This window comes from Homo sapiens, chromosome 4 (assembly GCF_000001405.40).
Source record: "Homo sapiens chromosome 4, GRCh38.p14 Primary Assembly".
Taxonomy (NCBI): domain Eukaryota; kingdom Metazoa; phylum Chordata; class Mammalia; order Primates; family Hominidae; genus Homo; species Homo sapiens.
In genome coordinates, this window is record NC_000004.12 from 149,337,622 (window position 1) to 149,360,523 (window position 22,902).

The 22,902-nt window shown below is 36.2% G+C and overlaps 1 protein-coding gene across 8 annotated transcripts in view, besides 1 other annotated feature; it reads right to left on the bottom strand.

Annotated features, from left to right (window-relative positions):
* Nucleotides 3,323-4,522: an enhancer, noted in NCBI's record as "BRD4-independent group 4 enhancer chr4:150262096-150263295 (GRCh37/hg19 assembly coordinates)". NCBI's record gives its function as "activates an origin of replication core promoter dependent on BRD2, P300/CBP, MED14 and CDK7 cofactors, and independent of BRD4, by STARR-seq in HCT116 cells {active_cell/tissue: HCT116}" and the evidence as "EXISTENCE:reporter gene assay evidence [ECO:0000049][PMID:35650434]".
* Nucleotides 14,088-22,902, bottom strand: part of IQCM (IQ motif containing M) — a 464,135-nt gene continuing 455,320 nt past the window's right edge. For all 8 annotated transcript variants that reach the window (NM_001378180.1, XM_017008904.3, NM_001363507.2 and 5 more), the window contains one exon: nucleotides 14,088-14,445. In NM_001378180.1, the coding sequence (NP_001365109.1) occupies nucleotides 14,330-14,445 (116 nt within the window). In that variant the 3' untranslated portion in view covers nucleotides 14,088-14,329. The remainder of the gene's footprint in view (nucleotides 14,446-22,902) is intronic.

The window sequence follows — 22,902 nt, forward strand, 5'->3', positions numbered from 1 at the left end:
AGGGATGGTGAGAGAGGGCATCCTTGTCTTGTGCCGGTTTTCAAAGGGAATGCTTCCAGTTTTTGCCCATCCAGTATGATATTAGCTGTGGGTTTGTCATAAATAACTATTATTATTTTGAGATATGTTCCATCAATACCCAGTTTATTGACAGTTTTTGGCATGAAGGGGTATTGAATTTCTTTGAAGGCCTTTTCTGCATCTATGAGATAATCATGTGGTTTTTGTCATACGTTCTGTTTAGGTGATGGATTACATTTATTGATTTGCATATGTTGAACCAGCCTTGCATCCCAGGGAAAAAGCCAACTTGATCGTGGTGGATAAGTTTTTGATGTGCTGCTGGATTCGGTTTGCCAGTATTTTATTGAGGATTTTCGCATCGATGTTCATCAGGGTTATTGGCTTGAGATTTTCTTTTTTTGTTGTGTCTCTGCCCGGTTTTGGCATCAGGAGGATGCTGACCTCATAAAATGAGTTAGGGAGGATTCCTTCTTTTTCTATTGTTTGGAATAGTTTCAGAAGGAACAGTACCAGCTCCCTTTTGTAACTCTGGTAGAATTCGGCTGTGAATCCATCTGGTCCTGGACTTTTTTTGGTTGGTAGGCTATTAATTGCTGCCTGAATTTCAGAACTTGTTATTGGTCTATTAAGAAATTTGACTTCCTCCTGGTTTAGTCTTGGGAGGGTGTATGTGTCCAGGAATTTATCCATTTCTTCTAGATTTTCTAGTTTATTTGTGTAGAGTTGTTTATAGTATTCTCTGATGGTAGTTTGTATTTCTGTGAGATCAGTGGTGATATCCCGTTTATCATTTTTTATTGCATCTATTTGATTCTTCTCTCTTTTCTTCTTTATTAGTCTGGCTAGCGGTCCATCTGTTCTGTTAATCAAAAAACCAGCTCCTGGATTCATTGATTTTTTGAAGGGTTTTTGGTGTCTCTACCTCCTTCAGTTCTGCATTGATCTTAGTTATTTCTTGTCTTCTGCTAGCCTTTGAAATTTTTTGCCTTGCTTCCATAGTTCTTTTAGTTGTGATGTTAAAGTGTCGATTTTAGATCTTTCCTGCTTTCTCTAATAGGCCTTTAGTGCTATAAATGTCCCTCTAAACACTGCTTTAGCTATGTCCCAGAGATTCTTATGTTGTGTCTTTGTTCTCATTCATTTCAAAAATTTATTTATTTCTGTCTTAATTTTGTAATTTAGACAGTAGATATTCAGGAGCAGGTTGATAAGTTTCCATGTAGTTGTGCAGTTTTGAGTGAGTTTCTTAATCCTCAGTTCTAATTTGATTGCACTGTGGTCTAGGACTGTTTGTTTAGATCTCCATGCTTGTGCATTTTCTGAGGAGTGTTTTACTTCCAATTATGTGGTCAATTTTAGAATAAGTGCGATGTGGTGCTGAAAAGAATGTATATTCTGTTGATTTGGGGTGGCAAATTCTGTAGATGTCTATTAGGTCCGCTTGGTCCAGAGCTGAGTTCAAGTCCTGAATATACTTGTTAATTTTCTGTCTCATTGATCTATTATTGACAATGGGGTGTCAAAGTCTCCCAATATTATTGTGTAAGAGTCTAAGTCTCTTTGTAGGTCTCTAACAACTTGCTTTCTGAATCTGGGTGCATATACATTTAGGATAGTTAGCTCTTCTTGTTGAATTGATCCCTTTACCATTATGCAATGCCCTTCTTTGTCTCTTTTGATCTTTGTTGGTTTAAAGTCTGTTTTATCAGAGACTAGGATTGCAACCCCTGCTTTTTTTTTTTTTTCTTTCCATTTGCTTGGTAAATCTTCCTCCATCTCTTTATTTTGAACCTATGTGTGTCTTTGCACATGAGATGGGTCTCCTGAATACAGCACCACTGATGGGTCTTGACTCATCATCCAATTTGCCAGTCTGTGTCTTTTAATTGGGGCATTTAGCCCTTTACATTTAAGGTTAATATTGTTATGTGTGAATTTTATCCTGTCATGTTGATGCTAACTGGTTATTTTGTCCCTTAGTTGATGCAGTTTCTTTATAGTGTCGATGGTCTTTACAATTTGGTATGTTTTTGCAGTGACTGGTCCCAGTTGTTCCTTTCCATGTTTAGTGCTTCCTTCAGGAGCTCTTGTAAGGCAGGCCTGGTGGTGACAAAATCTCTCAGCATTTGCTTGTCTGTAAAGGATTTTATTTCTCCTTTGCTTATGAAGCTTAGTTTGGCTGGATATGAGATTCTGGGTTGAAAATTCTTTTAACAATGTTGAATATTGGTCCCCACTCTCTTCTGGCTTGTAGAGTTTCTCCTGAGAGATCCACTTAGTTAGTCAGATGGGCTTCCCCTTTGTGGGTAACCTGACCTTTCTCTCTGGCTGCCCTTAACATTTTTTCCTTCATTTCAACCTTGGTGAATCTGACGATTATGTGTCTTGGGGTTACTCTTCTCAGGGAGCAGCTTTGTGGTGTTCTCTGTATTTCCTGAATCTGAATGTTGCCCTGTCTTGCTAGGTTGGCGAAGTTCTCCTGGATAACATCCTGAGGAGTGTTCCATTCTTGGTTCCATTCTCCCCGTCACTTTCAGGTACACCAATCAAATGTAGATTTGGTCTTTTCACATAGTCCCATATTTCTTGTAGGTTTGTTCATTTCTTTTCATTCTTTTTTCCCTAATCTTGCCTTCTTGCTTTATTTCATTACGTTGATCTTCAATCTCTGATATCCTTTCTTCCACTTGATCAATTTGGCTATTGATACTTGTATATGCTCCACGAAGTTCTTGTGCTGTTTTTCAGCTCCGTCAGGTCATTTATGCTCTTCTCTAAACTGGTTATTCTAGTTAGCAATTCGTCTAACCTTTTTTCAAGGTTCTTAGCTTCCTTGCATTGGGTTAGAACATGATCCTTTAGCTTGGAGAAGTTTTTTATTACCCACCTTCTGAAGCCTATTTCTGTCCATTCATCAAACTCATTCTCTGTCCAGTTTTGTTCCCTTGCTAGTGAGGAGTTGTGATCCTTTGTAGGAGAAGAGGCATTCTGATTTTTGGAATTTTTAGCTTTTTATGCTGATTTCTCCCCATCTTCGTGGATTTATCTACCTTTGGTCTTTGAAGTCAGTGACCTTCGGATGGGGCCTCTGAGTGGACGTCCTTTTTGTTGATGTTGATACTATTCCTTTCTGTTTGTTAGTTTTCCTTCTAACAGGCCCCTCTGCTGCAGGTCTGCTGGAGTTTGCTGGAGGTCCACTCCAGACCCTGTTTGCCTGGGTATCATCAGTGGAGGCTGAAGACCAGCAAAGATTGCTGCCTTTTCCTTCCTCTGGAAGCTTTGTCCCAGATGCCAGCCAGAGGTCTCCTGTATGAGGTGTCTTTCGGCCCCTACTGGGAGGTGTCTCCCAGTCAGAATACACCGGGGTCAGGGACCCACTTGAGGAGGCAGTCTGACCCATATTAGAACTCGAACACTGTGCTGGGAGATCTGCTGCTCTCTTCAGAGCTGTCTGACAGGGATGTTTAAGTCTGCTGAAGCTGCACCCACAGCCGCCCCTTCCCCCAGGTGCTCTGTCCCAGGGAGCTGGAGGTTTTATCTGTAAGTTCCTGACTGGGACTCCTGCCTTTCTCTCAGAGATGCCCTGCCCAGAGAGGAGGAATCTAGAGAGGTAGTCTGGCAGCAGCAGCCTTGCTGAGCTGTGGTGAGCTCCACCCAGTTTGAACTTCCTGGTGGCTTTGTTTACACTGTGAGGGTAAAACCACCTACTCAAGCCTCACAATGGCGGACACCCTTCCCTTCACCAAGCTCGAGTGTCCCAGGTCGACCTCAGACTGCTGTGCTGGCAGTAAGAATTTCAAGCCAGTGGATGTTAGCTTGCTGAGCTCCATGGGAGTGGGACCTGCCGAGCCAGACCACTTGGCTCCCTGGCTTCAGCCCCCTTTCCAGGGGAGTAAATGGTTCTCTTTCACTGGCATTCCAGGTGCCAGTGGGGTATGAAAAAAACTCTTGCAGCTAGCTAATTGTCTGCCCAAATGGCTGCCCAGTTTTGTGCTTGAAACCCAGTGCCCTGGTGGCATATGTACTGGAGGGAGTCTCCTGGTCTGCGAGTTGCGAAGACCATTGGAAAAACGCAGTGTCTGAGCCAGAGTCCACCATTCCTCATGGCACAGGCCCTCACGGCTTCCCTTGGCTAGGGTAGGGAAATCCCCTGACTCCTTGGGTTTCCCAGGTGAGGTGATGCCCACCCTGCTTCGGCTCACCCTCTGTGGGCTGCACCCACTGTCCATCCAGTCCCAATGAGATGAACCATGTACCTCAGCTGGAAATGCAGAAATCACCCACCTTCTGCATTGATCTCACTGGGAGCTGCAGACTGGAGCTGTTCCTATTCGGCCATCTTGCCAGCAAAACCTCAAGTTTGTTTTTAACATGTTCTCCAGGTTAAGCAATAGCTGTTATGTGTTAACTATTTTTGGCAGAAAGACACTACACAAATCAGATTACATTAACATAATCAGATCCTATTTAGAGAACAATAATAGATTAAGATACTTCTAATAATACTAATAATTTTCATATATTTCATGAAATTAAAGTTTTTAGGAATTTTATTCTCTTAAAAGTGACATATTTGACACGTTAATGAACACTTGTAAATTTAGTTTAAAAGTTTAACATAGAAAATCAAATTTTTGTTTTTGCAGTGGTAATAGTATAAATTTTGTGAAGAATGGTGTTTTGGTAAAAACAATGTCTTTATAAAATCAAGAAATCTTTAGGGCAGAAATATTCCTAAAATTGGTTGTAGTGCATACATAATTCCTAATTGCATACAAACAAGCTGTAATGTTCTATAACTTGAAATAGAAGCTGGAGTTGTTAAATTTCAAACCCACATACACATATTTGTAAACAGAGTTAGAATAACTACTACAAAGTTGAGGGCATGAAGATGAGATTGAAAATGCAGCAATACTTCAGCATGGCAATAAGCATTTTCTCTCTTTCTTGCCCATCATCAATCTGAAAAATATTTCAGAAATATCTTTCCTTTAAAGAACTATTGTGTAATTCAACTGAAGAGTCCTACAATGATATTGAACCTTTCATGAGTCCTTTAGATTTGGGGTTCATTTTCTTTCAGAATCAATATAAAACCCTTAATAAAAATATATGATAAACATCATTGCTAAAAGATTCCATCTTTTAAATATTTTATTAAATCACAATTCTTGGAAACAGAAAGACACTGACATTTATCCCCATAAAAGCAATAGAAGAAGTGAGCAAATGAAACAATAGTAGTTTTAACGGCATGTAAGCTGTAATTCTGAAATTCTGTAATTTCACATTGAAGTATGTTGACTGGTAGAAGCACTATGTTATTGGAGTTCTAATATTTAATTGGACAAATTATGTTCTGGATGCAATGCAACTGACAGTGCCAATGATTTTGCAGGACCTGAAGTTGGTAAAACATTCAACAAATTATACATATATATATATATATATATATATATATATATATATATATATATATATATATTTGATATACTTTTTTCATGCAAAAATATTTGTTGAAGAATATACCTTAACAGGACACCAAAAGTGAATATCTCTGAAAACATTTGGGGTGAAATATATATATATATATCAACACACACAAAATATTTACAGTTAAGAATATCTTCACTTAGCAGAATTTGCTCTGAACTTACTGCACATATAAAAATTTTTTTTTTGGCTTCTTGGCTAAAAATAATATAATCTAAAGAAAAGATTTAATTAAAGGTGTCACAATTTTAAAATTGTTAGCCATCAAATGCAACTTAGAATAATACTGTACATAATTTTATGAAAAAAATGAAAATGAGACCATATCTGGGAAACATACCAATGACATTGTATTAAAGGGCTACAGGTAAGTAATTCATGAAATTATGCGATTTAAAAATGGGAATTTATACTGTCAAGGCTCAGAATGTGATATCTCAAAATACAGCACATTGACAGAAGTCACAGAAGCAAGAAGTTCACTCTGACCTTCCCTCACCTTTCTGTGTGAAGCCTGGCCATAAAGGAATTCTCTGACCTACCTCTCCTGAAAGTCAGTCAAAAGGTTATCATTCTAGAGGGTTGCTGCCCTGTACCAGGGGAGGGGAGTGCTACAAAGCAAGGCCAAGGAGGATCTGAACAAACAGGCCTTGCTGAGTTCTCCCCAGGTTATTGTCATGATTAGATCATAGCCCCCTTTGTCTAATCATGCTTCCTCATGACTATCCACTTCTTTCCTCAGACTAACAATAAAAATGCAGTTTTCCCTGGGTCTTTGGATCTTCATTTCTGAAGGCTTCCATGTCACATAAAACTTTGATTACATGACTGTGTTATGCTTTCCTCCTGTTAATCTTTCTTTTGTTATAGGGGTGTATGCCATAAACCTTGTGATGAGTGGGGAAAACATATCCCCTTTTCTCCCTTATAATACCAAAAATAATTATTCTGTTTATATAATTGTTAATGTTTAAATATTCAATGAAAACATCTTTCTATATTACATTAAGGCCTATAGATGTATGTTATTTAAAAAAATTGTATTTTTGTAATGTTTTTGGATGTGACTGACTATTGTACAGGTTCACCAATATAATAAAACTAGTTTGTTGAAAAATAAATACATAATTTTAGTTCCTTTTGGTTCTCCTTTTACACTCACAATGATCTCAATTTAGATGATATATTTTTGATTAGTCTTTTTATGACCTGTTACTATCTATATATTTTCTAGAAATTGCTGTAGGATAAAAAAAACTAAAGCCTTTTGCTTCTTGATAATACCCTTGCTAGTCTACTCTGCTTTGTAAACTAGTCTAGTTTAAATGATCTTAGTTCAATAAGAATTTCTAGAAAGCTTGCACTAGTGTTAGGCATGTGGATAATCATTGTTCTCAGGAATTGTTCTTTTGTTTTTCTGGTGAGTTAAAAATTTTGACGTTTGTCTGCAACATGTTGCTTTTTTTCCTGTGTTCCTATGGGACCTAGTCATCTGTATGACTCACAGAAGAACTAAAGAGATAAACATGCATGTGCTAAAAAAAAAAAAAAAAAAAAAAAGTAATGCTTCTGAAGCAAAGTGAGACCAGCGCAAGTAAGAAGTGCAACATAGCTTTAATAACAAAAATAAATGGTGCAGACAAATTCACGCTGGCAGAAGGGAAATGAAAGCACTGAAGATGACTTAGTTTTCTGGGAAAACTTTGAAGGTGGCTCTAGGACTGGTTGCCTAGAAAGATAAGCTAAAGTTTCAGCAGACAAGGAGAAAATAAATGGGAGGGAAGGGTTGATGGTATGAACTAAGTCAGGAATATGGCTTTTTTGGGGTGGTAAGCAGTTTGGTCAATAAGGTGGAGATACGTTGTAAGCAGCATAGGATATAAGCATGAAGATTTGAACTTCAGCTAAGGGTCTAGACAGTTATAATTGAGAGATTATAGAACAGATTTGAGTAGGAGGGCCATACAATGCTAGATGAATTGAAGAATGGGGATATTTATATCTGAGACAATTCTGAGACATATCAAGTAGTCTAGACTTAGAAGGACCTGGACTAGCAGAATGAATGCTGGAATGAAAAAAAAAGGGACAAATCCAGAAATATTTTGAAAAAAGAGTTGAGAAGAATTGGTAAATTATTTTCTAAAAGAAGCATGAGGTTTTTTAAAAAATGTAATTCTTTGTGGCTGTTTAATGCAGAGATTCTGTGCTAGCTAGCCTGGGATCTAAAATTAAACAAGTATTTTCCCTACATAAAACCTGAAATAATATAATGTATTGATGTAATCATGTAGTTACAAGATGCATACTAGGAGGGAAGCTCACTTAAAAAAAGTCATAACAAACACACAAAATAAAATGTATAGATAGGGAGGCTTTTATAATTCTATAATATTAGTAGTCAATCCATATGACATGAAGATTACCAGGATGCCCCTGAAATGGGTTGCACAAGATGTGAGATGTCTAAAGCTCTCATCATTAGTCATACACGATGAGTTGACAGGCCTTGTTAAAATGCAAACAAGGTGATACATGAAGCCATGAGGATTCATTAGCATCTTGAACCAACTTAATTGATCAAATTATCTAACCTATTCTAAAGCACAAGGAAAAGGGAGATGCAAGCAAGAACACCAGAGAGATTTTTCTGTGTATGGGAAGGGAAATTATTGAAGAAGTCAGAAAGAGGCATTCATCACATGGGTTGTGTGTAGTTTCTTTGTGTTGTTGCCCAGTTTGGGCTTGCATTGTAGATCCTTCTTCCTTCTAGTTAACTAATACACACTCACTTTGTCTTCTGGGAAGGTATATAAAATAGGATAAAGAAGATTGAATTGGGAATCAGAAGTCAATGCCAATTCTAGCTCAGGCACTAAATTGCTGAATGACTTTACTTACCCTCTTCATCTCAGCTTTTACTTTTGTAAAATGAGGGCCTTAGACTAGATAAGTAATACCTACTCCAGCTACTCCATTCTATAAGATAGTTACTCACATTTTTATCCTCACAGTCTTTTTTTGTTATTGGTATTTTTCTTTTAGTACAGGAGAATTTTATTTTTAAAAAACACTTTTATCAAGAAAATCACCTATTTGAGATCAAAAAGCTGGTGATGTTTTAAAGATGCATGTTTTCAGGCTCTTTTACAGATTAGCCGTGTTTCTTGGTTTACAGTGAAAATCTATAGAACCTACACATGCATAAGACAACATCAGTTTTCATTATAATCATATTTCACACATTACAAAGTCCCGATATTTCTTCTGTTAGTCATATAATTACATGAGAGACGTTTCTTCCAGAATAACTACATTATCATTGAAATTGTACTAAATTTACTACTAAATTTACAAATATTTTAGTCTTTAATATACATGTTGTCAAAATTCAGAGAGATTAAATTGATAAATATCTTCCTATTGCATCTTTTCATTTTTGTGAATTATAAGCAACTGTCAAGCCTCTGGAGTTTTATAAAATTATCATCCTGCTGGAGAATGTCGTGAACCCGGGAGACGGAGCTTGCAGTGAGCCAAGATCGCACCACTGCACTCCAGCCTGGATGACAGAGCAAGACTCCGTCTCAAAAATAAATAAATAAATAAATAATCATGCTGCTATCAAATATAAAGTTACATTTCTGATACCTCTGCCTTTTCTTGTATAGAGAATCACTTATAGGAATACTATTTAGGATATCAAATATTCTTGCCAGTAAGATGAAGCTGCAGTAATATGCAGAGGAAAAGTGGAACTAGGATTGCTTGGAACAATGTGACATACCAGGATATCTGATATCTGGCATATGCTTATGGAGTACCTCAAAAGTCTTCATTTTGAAAACTGCACCTTAACTTTTAAATATATTTTTATTAGTAGAGCCTTTATTGACTAGCATTATTTAATAATAAGGGAGGAAAAGATGAAGTGAGGAAAGGAAGGAAAGGAGGGAGGGAGGGAGGGAGGGAGGGAGGAAGGAAGGAAGGAAGGAAGGAAGGAAGGAAGGAAGGAAAGATAACTCATGAGTCAGGATTCTCAGAGAAGACAGGGTAACACTAGCTGTATTAATCAGAAAGATATTTACTAAGACACATAGACAACTCAAAATTGTTGCGATTGCAGAAGAAACAGATTGCAAGAGGTGTTCCATGAATACTCCTTGTATTACCCCATAACTCACTTGCCAAAATCAGGAAACTGAATCAGAAAGCCACCCCACAGCTGCTGACTTCAGAACCTGGCCCCATACCAGGCGGTATACCAGTAGGATGAATGCTCTGTGCTTGCCCTTTATCCCTACATAACCAAGCTCTAAAGCAAAGTTTTCTGTGGGGGTGAGGAAGGCTGAATAGTGTTTGGTGTAATATTATCATTATTACATTGAAAATACGTGTTCTACAATGTGGAAAATTAGCAAAATATGCAGACTTCTCCAAAAAAATCAGGAGACACGCAAATTTAAAAATATCTAATATGAAATCTGTTTAACAATCCCAAATCTTGGAAGTTTAAGGGTTTATTCCAGAAAGATCTTGCAATCTTGAAGACAGCAGATTTAAACTAGCACATTTGTTCAAAACTGTTAGCAAATCTATTTAGAATTTTGTTTCTTTAAGGTTTCTCTTTTTCCTTCCCCTGACTTGTTTCCAAGTCATAAAAGAGAGGGAAGAGAGAGAATTTTTAATTGTTCAACCTATTAGAATAAAGTTAAGAATTACTTCTGAGGTGTAAGACAGTCATACCTTATCACAGTTTTATTGGCCTTTCTTTTCTTGATTATTTACATAGAAAAATCTGGAGACAATATCATTTTGTGTCCCTCTCCACTGTTTTGGAAGTATTTGTTTCTGATAGCCTATTTCCTAAACCGAAAATTGTTGTTGTTGTTGTTATTTTCATTAAGAAAAATTATTCTTATCAGCATATTACTGAAAATTATTTACTTTACATAATTTGTACTTGAGTAACAAAAAACAAAAATAAACAAAAATAAAACCCAGAGTTCTTCATTCCAGAAGGAAAAGTATCTATCAATACTTTTTTAAAAAATATATGTTTTCTTTACATTGATGCTAGCTGTTTTCAGGATTCCTGATGAATTGTGCAAGGGAATTATTATCAAAATCTTGAAGAAACTAGGAAGAAACTAGAAGAAACTAGGAAAGGCTGGATTGTTTGGATATTTTTATAATAAAAATTTTAAACCAGATTTATGACAATCTAAGTGAAGCTATTTGAAATATTTCTTGTTTCCTAAAATAATGAGGAATTAAACTCATTTTCTTTGGCAGAAATTGGCACACTCTCTTCTTTGATACAAAGCTAGACCACATTTCCTAGACTTCTATAATTTAGAGGGAACCAGCTAACAAGTTCTCCCCTCTAGAATGTGAGTAGAAGTGATAAGTTCCAAGTTCAGATTGAAGTGGTTAAGAAAGTCAGCTTTCTCCACAATCTCTCTTTTTTGTCTATTGCCTGAGTGCAAAGGCTGCAGTGCTGGCCCTGAAGAATGGAACGGAGGCCAGACGCGGTGGCTCACGCCTGTATCCCAGCACTTTGGGAAGCCAAGGGAGGCGGATCACCTGAGGTCGCGAGTTCGAGACCAGCCTGACCAACATGGAGAAACCCCATCTCTATTAAAAATACAAAATTAACCGGGTGTGGTGGTGCATGCCTGTAATCCCAGCTACTCGGGAGGCTGAGGCAGGAGAATCGCTTGAACATGGGAGGTGGAGGTTGCAGTGAGCCGAGATCACACCATTGAACTCCAGCCTGGGCAATAAGAGTGAAACTCCGTTTGAAAACAAAAAAATGGAACAGAGTCCCTGCCTATTCACACTGGAATGTAAAGTGAGCAATGGGATTATTAGGATTGCCGTTTAACACTTTTAACCTACCCTGACTGATGTACATCTGTGAACATACTGTGCTTTGGGAGAAAGTAGTCAATATAAAAATGTGATCTACATATTCAAGCTGCTTCATATTGGTGCAAAAGTATACTGCCAACTCAAAAGCATTTTACAAATATATTATTATTAATTAAACAATAAAAATATTAATAGTTACACAGAATTCCGTGTTTCAATTGTGTTTGTGCTTGGGATGGAAGTTGGGGAAAGGAATGAATAGGAAAGAAAAATCCTCTTAAATTTGAATATTGTGAGAAGTCCATGTTATAGGACCAGAGAAGTTGGGCTTTCAACTATTCTAATAGTTGCACTGATTAAAAAAATTATAGATACATAAGAAGATGTAATACACAAGTCATAAACAATTTAAGAGATGTAACAAACCTGAATCTTGACCTTGCATTGTTTCTGTTTTTTTCCTTAATGCACTTTTATTTAATTTGGCTTAGCTATTTTAAAGATCATATTACTGCAGTCAGAAGCAGTGTTTTAGAATTCAGCTGGGTCACAGGAACTTTCTCACCACTCCATTCTAATTTGCAGTTTTGCTATAATAAAAGCCCTAAATATATTGCTACTGTCTAGATGTTTTATCTGAAACAAGTGTCCTTTGTAGTCTCAGAGGACTCTTCTATTTTATTTCCAGTAAATCAAAGTCTGTGAAGAGCTTCAGTTTTTATTAAGACATACCCTTCACAGTCCAGTGATTGCCAACTGTGGCAAGCCATTGACAGTTCATTTACATATAAGTGATGACTTCCATCAGGTAGTTGGCTCAAAAACACAATGGACATTTAGAGCATATCCAATATTTCTTGTTCTTTGATGAGCACCAAGTGCCAATTTTTATATAGAAACTGACTACTGAAAAGTGAAGGCTTCTTTTCCATGACCTTACACTGTCTTCTACAGCTCTAGAGTGAAATATTGTCACTGAACTTAATGTAGGATCACACCTCTAAAAGACATTCAGTAGCCTTACTTCAACTTGCTAAAAATCAAGGAGTCAAATGTAGAAAACCTGAAACAAGAACAATCACATTTTATTAAATGAAAAGTGAACTTCCACATCCTGTCCCAAACTGTCATAATCAGAACAACTTTTATATTTGTATAAAGTAATTGTGATATTATTAATTTTCTCTTATAAATATATTTACTACTTGGAATAGTGATTACACAACACTCATTAAGAAATCTTATATTTAAGTTTGTAAGTGCCTTTCATTTTAACTCCATGATTTTGCTCCTAATGTTTTTGGAATAGCAGTGGTTGAAATGTAGGCAAATTTTTATCCTAATTATGTTTTAAAAAAGGAGCAGGCTGATGACTTGTAATCATGCTTATATTCAACTTGCATAATTTTTCCCTTTTTTAAAAAGTTGCGCATTTTCTATTTTTTCAGTATGTAAACAAAAAATACTTTTACCTTTAAAATAAAATTCAATTATCAGTAAGGAGAATATGCATAATTAAATTTCACAGGTAAGCCAAATTCCACATTTTAGCTTTAGCTAGTAATCACTTCCTTGCCCTGCTCAAAGGTTTTTTTGTTACAATTTTCTGGTTAGCGCTTCATCATGATTTTTAGTCCACCTTGAGTTTGGTTTTGGTGAGGCCTGACTTAACATGATTCTTGTAATTGGCTTTTCTAAAGATTTAATAACTTCCATAGATATTCTTATAGTAAACTCAATTGCATAAAAATAACCTGAGAGTTTTTTGTTTGTTTTAAAATCAAAGAGACTATTACAGAAGTAATGGATGCAGAATAAAAGCTGTGAAACAATGGGACACTTGTCATGTAGTTCCCAGCTCTTTTCATATCTAGCCTCTATGCTATGTATAGACTCTATTCCTTCGATTATGGTTCCTCACTTGTTTCTCTAATTCCATTCAAAATAGAGGGATGGATAGATGGATGGATAAAATTAAATTAAAGATTCTTAAGAAAACTTTGCTTCAAATTCTTTCAGCATTGGGGCTGGGTGCGGTGGCTCACATCTGTAATCCCAGCACTTTGGGAGGCTGAGGAAGGCGGATCATTTGAGGTCAGGAGTTCGAAACCAGCCTGGCCAACATGGTGAGACCCTGTCTCTACTAAAAATACAAAAATTAGCTGGGTGTGGTGGCATGCACCTGTAGTCCTGACTACTTGGGAGACTGAGGCAGGAGAATTGCTTGAACCCTGGAGGCGGAGGCTGCAGTGAGCTGAGATTGCACCACTGCACTCTAGCCTGGGTGACAGAGCCAGACTGCATCTCAAAAAAAAAAAAAAAAATTATTTCAGTGCTAAGGCAAATCAACTCAGGAATACTCAGGAATACTGTATATTGCTTCTCACCTTTTTACTTCAGAATGAGCAATGAGTAGGGAAAAATAATACCATGACTCTACCAAAAATTAACACAGTTTAAAACAACCATTTCCAAAAACTTTACATAATAAAGGACATTATGGAAAACAAAGAAATTTTTTGACATATATGATTTCAATGAAACATCACACTGTTACCTTTTTAAAGAACAAAAAAGGTGAATCCAACAGTATTGTATACCAGATTCATGAGTTTTAGAAATAAGAATTTTAAAGTTTCTTTATGGTTGTTATTGGTAATGGAACAACATAAATTATAGTCTAATGAAAGGAGTACTTGACACTCTGCAGGTTTACTTCATTATGATAAAAGAGATGTTTTTTATGAAGGAGATCAAATGAATGGTGTTCATCCAAAAATACTAGAAATTATAGATAAACTTGTCAAAGTTCTTTCTATATTCAAAGATTTTTATCCTTTCTTCCTACTCATACAGAATTGATCCACCTCCAGTGTTAACTTGTCTCTTTGGGTAGAGAAGTTTAACTATTACAGGTAATAATATGTTGGAAACATCATTCAACTTTACATGACTTATAATGTTGTCTCATTTTCCTTTCTCTTATGGATCGGGCCACCAACTTTCCAACAACCCGGATGTTAGCTCGTTTGAGTGCTGGATGTCCATTTACTATAATACAAAACATACAGTCACATTAATATATTTTCAATTAATATGATAGTAATGTACCATGGTTTTGAAATTCTATAAGTTACAGGAAACTAATTATGGTTGTGTTAGAACATGCAAAAGACTGGACTTGGGCTCATTTCCTTCGGGTGTAGTGTGTTACCTTATATATCATGCCAAGAGACTCAAAGTTACTGTTAGACCAAAGCATTGAGGGAAGGGATGGGTGAAACTGGGTTCCACTAATATACAGAATATAGTCAGCCCTCTGTATCTGTGGGTTCCCTGGTAATGGATTCAAGGAACTGCAGATAAAAACTATTCAGAAAAAGAAATTTCACAAAGTTCTGAAAGGTAAAACTTGAATTTGCTACACAAGTACTATGTTGAATCCACATGAATGAAGAGGTGTGTAGCTACTGTATTAGGTATTACGTGTAAACTAGAGATGATTTAAAGTATATGGGAAGATGGGTATACATTATATGCAAATACTACCCCATTTTATATAAAGGACTTAAGCATCTGTGGATTCTCATATTCGAGGGAGATTCTGGAACCAATTTCCTACCAGCACTGAGGGAAAATCGTATTTGAAATAAATTAGATGCAACACGTTTGCTTTTAAGACAAACAGTATTGACTTTTTTTACATTAAAGTGTAATCAGTTCTGATAATGATATTTAAATTAACATAAACCACTATTCATATAGATTGGTTGTATAGATCCATCTTTATGTATAAAATGACTTTGCAATTAATAAATAAAAGGTATAGATTTACTGTGGCCACCATTATACAAAGAAATAATTTATAGATAGGGTAGTATATCTTTGCTGTTTAGGTCCTATAGTTGTTATTAAACAAAAACATAACCAGCTGCCAAAATCCAGTTAAAATTATAAGAAGAATAATCAACATGGCTAAAAGGAAATTAATGACTTGAGGTGTTATAAGAAACAAGGCATTGTTTCTGGGTTAATGTATCTCCATATTGTTATTTGACAAAGAGCAAGGCCTTATAACAACAAGATTAAATTGGGCCACTTTAAAAAAGGACCTGAATAGGCATTTTTCCAAAAAAGATTTAAAAATGGACAACAGGTATATGAAAATGCACTCAACATCATTAATCATCAGGGAATGCAAATCAAAACCACAATGAGATATCACCTCGGACCCCTTAGGATGGCTATTATCAAAAAGTCTAGATAACAAATGTTAGCAAGAGTGCGGATAAAAGGAAACACTTATACACTATTGGTGGGAATTTAGATTGGTGTAACCATTCTAGAAAACAGTATGGAGTTTCCTAAAGTAATTAAAAATAGAACTACCCTAAGATCCAGCAATCCCTCTTCTGGGCATATACCCAAAGGAAATGAAATCACCACCTTGTAAAGATTATCTACACGTGCACATTCACTGCAGCATTATTCACAGTAGCCAAGATATGGAAACAACCTTAATATATTTCATTGGACAAATAGATTAAAGAACTGTAGCATATATATACAATGGAATATTATTCAGCCTTAAGAAGAAGGAAATCCTGCCATTTGCCACAACATGAGTGAACTTGAAAGACATTAAGTGAAATAAGCCAGATACAGAAAGAAAAAATATTGCATGATTTCACTTACATGTGGAATCTGAAAAAAAGAGTCAAATATACAGACATAGAGAATCAAATTGGTTACTAGAGGTGGAGGATGGAGAGGAAATGGGGGAAAGTAGCTCAGGGATCACAAAGTAGCAGATGTTTAAGATGAACAGGTCTAGAGACCTAATGCTCAACCTGAGGACCACAGGCAATACAATTGTACCGTATTTGGGATTCCCACTAAAGATTTCAGTTGCTCTTGTCGCAAAAACAAAATAAACGGGAATGATGTGAGATGATGGCTATGTTGCTTCACTATAGTAACTATTTTACTATTTATATGTATCCCATTACATCATGTTGCTTACTTTAAACATACAAAATAAAACTTATTTTTTAAAACTGACAAATTGGCCAGGCGCGGTGGCTCACGCCTGTAATCCCAGCACTTTGGGAGGCCGAGGCGGGTGGATCACGAGGTCAGGAGATCGAGACCATCCCGGCTAAAACGGTGAAACCCCGTCTCTACTAAAAATACAAAAAATTAGCCGGGCGTAGTGGCGGGCGCCTGTAGTCCCAGCTACTTGGGAGGCTGAGGCAGGAGAATGGCGTGAACCCGGGAGGCGGAGCTTGCAGTGAGCCGAGATCCCGCCACTGCACTCCAGCCTGGGCGACAGAGCGAGACTCCGTCTCAAAAAAAAAAAAAAAAAAAAAAAAAACTGACAAATTAGGCCACAGTAATTGCAAAACAATTATTAGTTTTCATTCCTAGTGAGATCACAGGGAAAGGCAACCACAGATTAGTGTCCTAATCCTAATTTACGACAGTTATACTAGAAAAGCATGAGATATGCATTCTAGTTCTTGAAATGAGATCTCAGGATTAAGTGCTTTCCTATTATGAATTTCTTTGATAATACCAAGCATATATTTCATCAAGCAAGAGATACTTATAATATAACATTACTCAAAAGAGTTAAAATAGAAAGAAAAGTGAAAATAAGGGCCCAAGTTCATGTTCTTATACATTTCTGAGTGAATCCAGGTTTGGTATTCAATCTTAGTTTCCCTACTTTTGAAATTGGGGATAATATATATCTTGTCCAATTATTGAAAGGACCCAAAACTATATGTCAAAAGATATATTTGTAATAATATTTCATGAATATTAACTCTTCAGTTGTAATGAATGTACCACACTAATGCAACGTGTTAATAATAGGAGAATCTATTAATAGGGCTGGGGTGCAGGTGTGAGAGTACATGGGAACACTCTACTTTCCATTCCATACTTCTGTAAACCAATATTTCTGTAAAAGTAGAATAATGATAATACTGAAAGCTTATTAATTTAAAAACAGACATGACTCTGATACTTCATAAGTATTTAAAAAATAGTTGCTGGATTATTATCTACCCTATGATATCATAAAATAAGCTTTTTAAAGAAATTTCACTGGCAATTATAATATTATTATTTCATAAACATTTAAAGAATAATTTCACTTAGGAAGAATACAAATATAAGTACACATAATATATCTTTAATCTTTCAAAGTAAATATTCTTTTTTTAATTTTTTATTATTGTACTTTAAGTTTTAGGGTACATGTACAGAACGTGCAGGTTTGTTACATATGTATACATGTGCCATGTTGGTGTACTGCACCCATTAACTCATCATTTAGCATTAGGTATATCTCCTAATGCTATCCCTTCCCCCTCCCCCCACCCCACAACAGGCCCCAGCGTGTGATGTTCCCCTTCCTGTGTCTATGTGTTCTCATTGTTCAATTCCCACCTATGACTGAGAACATGCGGTGTTTGGTTTTTTGTCCTTGCGATAGTTTGCTGAGAATGATGGTTTCCAGCTTCATCCATGTCCCTACAAAGGACGTGAACTCATCATTTTTTATAGCTGCATAGTATTCCATGGTGTATTTGTGCCATATTTTCTTAATCTAGTCTATCATTGTTGCACATTTGGGTTGATTCCAAGTCTTTGCTATTGTGAATAGTGTCGCAATAAACATATGTGTGCATGTGTCTTTATAGCAGCATGATTTATAATCCTTTGGGTATATACCCAGTAATGGGATGGCTGGGTCAAATGGTATTTCTAGTTCTAGATCCCTGAGGAATTGCCACACTGACTTCCACAATGGTTGAACTAGTTTACAGTCCCACCAACAGTGTAAAAGTGTTCTTATTTCTCCACATCCTCTCCAGCACCTGTTGTTTCCTGACTTTTTAATGATCGCCATTCTAACTGGTGTGAGATGGTATCTCACTGTGGTTTTGATTTGCATTTCTCTGATGGCCAGTGATGATGAACATTTTTTCATGTGTTTTTTGGCTGCATAAATGTCTTCTTTTGAGAAATCTCTGTTCATATCCTTTGCCCACTTTTTGATGGGGCTGTTTGTTTTTTTCTTGTAAATTTGTTTGAGTTCATCGTAGATTCTGGATATTAGCCGTTTGTCAGATGAGTAAGTTGCAAAAATTTTCTCCCATTCTGTAGGTTGCCTGTTCACTCTGATGGTGGTTTCTTTTGCTGTACAGAAGCTCTTTAGTTTAATTAGATCCCATTTGTCAATTTTGGCTTTTGTTGCCTTTGCTTTTGGTGTTTTAGACATGAAGTCCCTGCCCATGCCTATGTCCTGAATGGTATTGCCTAGGTTTTCTTCTAGGGTTTTTATGGTTTTAGGTCTAACATTTAAGTCTTTAATCCATCTTGAATTAATTTTTGTATAAGGTGTAAGGAAGGGATCCAGTTTCAGCTTTCTACATATGGCTAGCCAGTTTTCCCAGCACCATTTATTAAATAGGGAATCCTTTCCCCATTGCTTGTTTTTCTCAGGTTTGTCAAAGATCAGATAGTTGTAGATATGCGGCATTATTTCTGAGGGCTCTGTTCTGTTTCATTGGTCTATATCTCTGTTTTGGTAAGAGTACCATGCTGTTTTGGTTACTGTAGCCTTGTAGTATAGTTTGAAGTCAGGTAGCATGATGCCTCCAGCTTTGTTCTTTTGGCTTAGGATTGACTTGGTAATGCGGGCTCTTTTTTGGTTCCATATGAACTTTAAAGTAGTTTTTTCCAATTCTGTGAAGAAAGTCATTGGTAGCTTGATGGGGATGGCATTGAATCTATAAATTACCTTAAGCAGTATGGCCATTTTCATCATATTGATTCTTCCTACCCATGAGCATGGAATGTTCTTCCATTTCTTTGTATCCTCTTTTATTTCATTGAGCCATGGTTTATAGTTCTCCTTGAAGAGGTCCTTCACATCCCTTGTAAGCTGGATTCCTAGGTATTTTATTCTCTTTGAAGCAATTGTGAATGGGAGTTCACTCATGATTTGGCTCTCTGTTTGTCTGTTATTGGTGTAAAAGAATGCTTGTGATTTTTGCACATTGATTTTGTATCCTGAGACTTTGCTGAAGTTGCTTATCAGCTTAAGGAGATTTTGGGCTGAGACAATGGGGTTTTCTAGATATACAATCATGTCATCTGCAAACAGGGACAATTTGAGTTCCTCTTTTCCTAATTTAATGCTCTTTATTTCCTTCTCCTGCCTGACTGCTCTGGCCAGAACTTCCAACACTATGTTGAATATGAGTGGTGAGAGAGGGCATCCCTGTCTTGTGCCAGTTTTCAAAGGAATGCTTCCAGTTTTTGTCCATTCAGTATGATATTGGCTGTGGGTTTGTCATTGATAGCTCTTATTATTTTGAGATACGTCCCATCAATACCTAATTTATTGAGAGTTTTTAGCATGAAGAGTTGTTAAATTTTGTCAAAGGCCTTTTCTGCGTCTATTGAGATCATCATGCGGTTTTTGTCTTTGGTTCTGTTTATATGATGGATTACGTTTATTGATTTTCATGTGTTGAACCAGCCTTGCATCTCAGGGATGAAGCCCACTTGGTTATGGTGGATAAGCTTTTTGATGCGTTGCTGGATACGTTTTGCCAGTATTTTATCGAGGATTTTTGCACCAATGTTTATCAAGGATATTGGTCTTGAATTCTCTTTTATTGTTGTGTCTCTGTCAGGCTTTGGTATCAGGATGATGTTGGCCTCATCAAATGAGTTAGGGAGGATTCCCTCTTTTTCTGTTGATTGGAATAGTTTCAGAAGGAATGGTACCAGCTCGTCCTTGTACCTCTGGTAGAATTCGGCTGTGAATCCATCTGGTCCTGGAATTTTTTTGGTTGGTAAGCTATTAATTATTGCCTCAATTTCAGAGCCTGTTATTGGTCTATTCAGAAATTCAACTTCTTCCTGGTTTAGTTTTGGGAGAGTGTATGTGTCGAGGAATTTATCCATTTCTTCTAGATTTTCTAGTTTATTTGCGTAGAGATGTTTATAGTATTCTCTGATGGTAGTTTGTATTTCTGTGGGATCGGTGGTGATATCCCCTTTATCATTTTTTATTGCATCTATTTGATTCTTCTCTGTTTTCTTCTTCATTAGTCTTGCTAGCGGTCTATCAATTTTGTTGATCTTTTCAAAAAACCAGCTCCTGGATTCATTGATTTTTCAAAGGGTTTTTTGTGTCTCTAGTTCCTTCAGTTCTGCTCTGATCTTAGTTATTTCTTGCCCTCTGCTAGCTTTTGAATGTGTTTGCTCTTGCTTCTCTAGTTCTTTTAATTGTGATGTTAGGGTGTCGATTTTAGATCTTTCCTGCTTTCTCTTGTGGGCATTTAGCGCTATAAATTTCCCTCTGCACACTGCTTTGAATGTGTCCCATAGATTCTGGTATGTTGTGTCTTTGTTCTTGTTGGTTTCAAAGAACATCTTTATTTCTTCCTTCATTTCGTTATGTACACAGTAGTCATTCAGGAGCAGGTTGTTCAGTTTCCATGTAGTTGAGTGGTTTTGAGTGAGTTTCTTAATCCTCATTTTTGTCATATGGCAGAATAGACTCAGAGAACAGTCCTTTTGATAAAAACAAGTCAAATCCTGGATAATATATTAAATATATTTTAACTTCATTACTAAGCTGGCAAAGAGGGAAGAAAAATGCAAAAGCCAAAAACAAGTGAAATCAGTAAGCTTAGTAAATATTTGAAATGCCAAGCCAGTTTTTTTGGTTGTAGGCTGGGGACAGAGAATAAAGCATAGGATCCACCCAAAAGAGGGAGTGTATCATGACAGCACAGTGGACAGTATATCATGATATACTCTCATGAGTATATCATGAGACCACAGTGGAGAGCTGTGCTATCAGAGTGAGTGGAAATGAGAAAGAGAGAGAGACACGGGTTGAGGGGTAGGGAGGGTGCAGGAAAGGAGGGAGAGAGGGAAAAGTAAAAAGAAAGAAAAAATGAAAAAACCTAAAGAAGGGGACATCAAGGAAATTTCCCTGTTTCCATAAGCTGGGTAGAGAGATCATAAATAACCCCAAAGCTGGTCCTTGGTTTGGTGTTCCAGTTCATGTCACTTGTGTGATCCAAAAATATCTCAAATAACTTTAATGCTCGTTGGTCCCCAAGAACAAATAAAAAACCTCTCTAGAGGAAAGTAACTTCAACAAAGGCCTTTAAAATATGTCATAAAAGCATATTTTATTAACCCATAGTGTGTTACAATGTATTTTTCAATGCAAAAGCAGTACCTATAATACCGGTATTTTAAAGTTATACAGATAGAAATACATGTAAAATATTAAATACCAAAATATTAATGATGAGTTTGGTTATAATTTAGCCTTATATTTTTTGCTTATCTACATTTTCAATGGAAAATATTATTTATGTAAAAATAGCAATATTAGAGATTTAAGCTTCTAGATTGGAATGCATGGTAGAAAGTAATTTTTATTGTAGATAATTAGGAAATAATTAGAAACAACATTTTTGTTTCTATTTCAACAGTTTAAAGAAGTGGCTTTAAATTGTGGAAATGTTCAAATAATAGATAATATGCTGAATACACGATTTACAGGCTGGATTTTCAGAAATGGGATATTTCTTTTTCTCAAAGGTTTGAAGTATTATTGTGTCCTATATTTTCTTTTAAATTATCTACAAATTTTTATATTCACAAGTCCATGTTATTATTCTTCATGCAAATTCCACAACTTATTCAAGGTTATATATCATTCAACACTATTGGCTACTTCCTGTGAACACTTTAAAATTAATCTTTGTAGAGCAACTTGGAAAGAAAACAAACACAGATAGTTTTGCAAAATAAAATAAGCATTTAGGTCATTGAGTATCTACTGAGTCCTGTTTGTTTAGATTCATGCTAAGTGCTATGGGGTGATATAAAGGGCACTAGCTGAGAGCTTTCTGGGTCTCCATTTCCTAATCAAGAAATAAACAAGAGAGAAAAACACTACAATTATTATATTACTCATAGTCATCTAGTTAAAAAAAAAATAAAGTGAAAGCACTACCTAACACAGTATCAGGATCTGCACATCAGATGATTATCATAATCAACATAAAGCAAAATACAGTTCTAGATGGCAATTAATGTATATAAGTATAGTCAGCCTTCTGTACCTCAATTCAACTAACTGTGGATCTAATATATTTGGAAAAATGCAATAAAAATAACACTATAACAATAAAAAGCAAAAATTAAAAAATGCAGTGCAATACATATTTATATGGTATTTACATTGTATTAGGTATTGTAAGTAATCTAGAGAACAATTTAAAGTATCCAAGAGGACAGGTGTATGTCATATGCAAATACTACATCATTTTTTATAAGAAACATGAGCATCTGTGGGTTTTGGCATGCTCCGGAGGTCCTGGAGTCAATTCTCTGTGTATACCAAGGCACTTATAATATGGTTTGGCTGTGTCCCCACCAAAATCTCAACTTGAATTG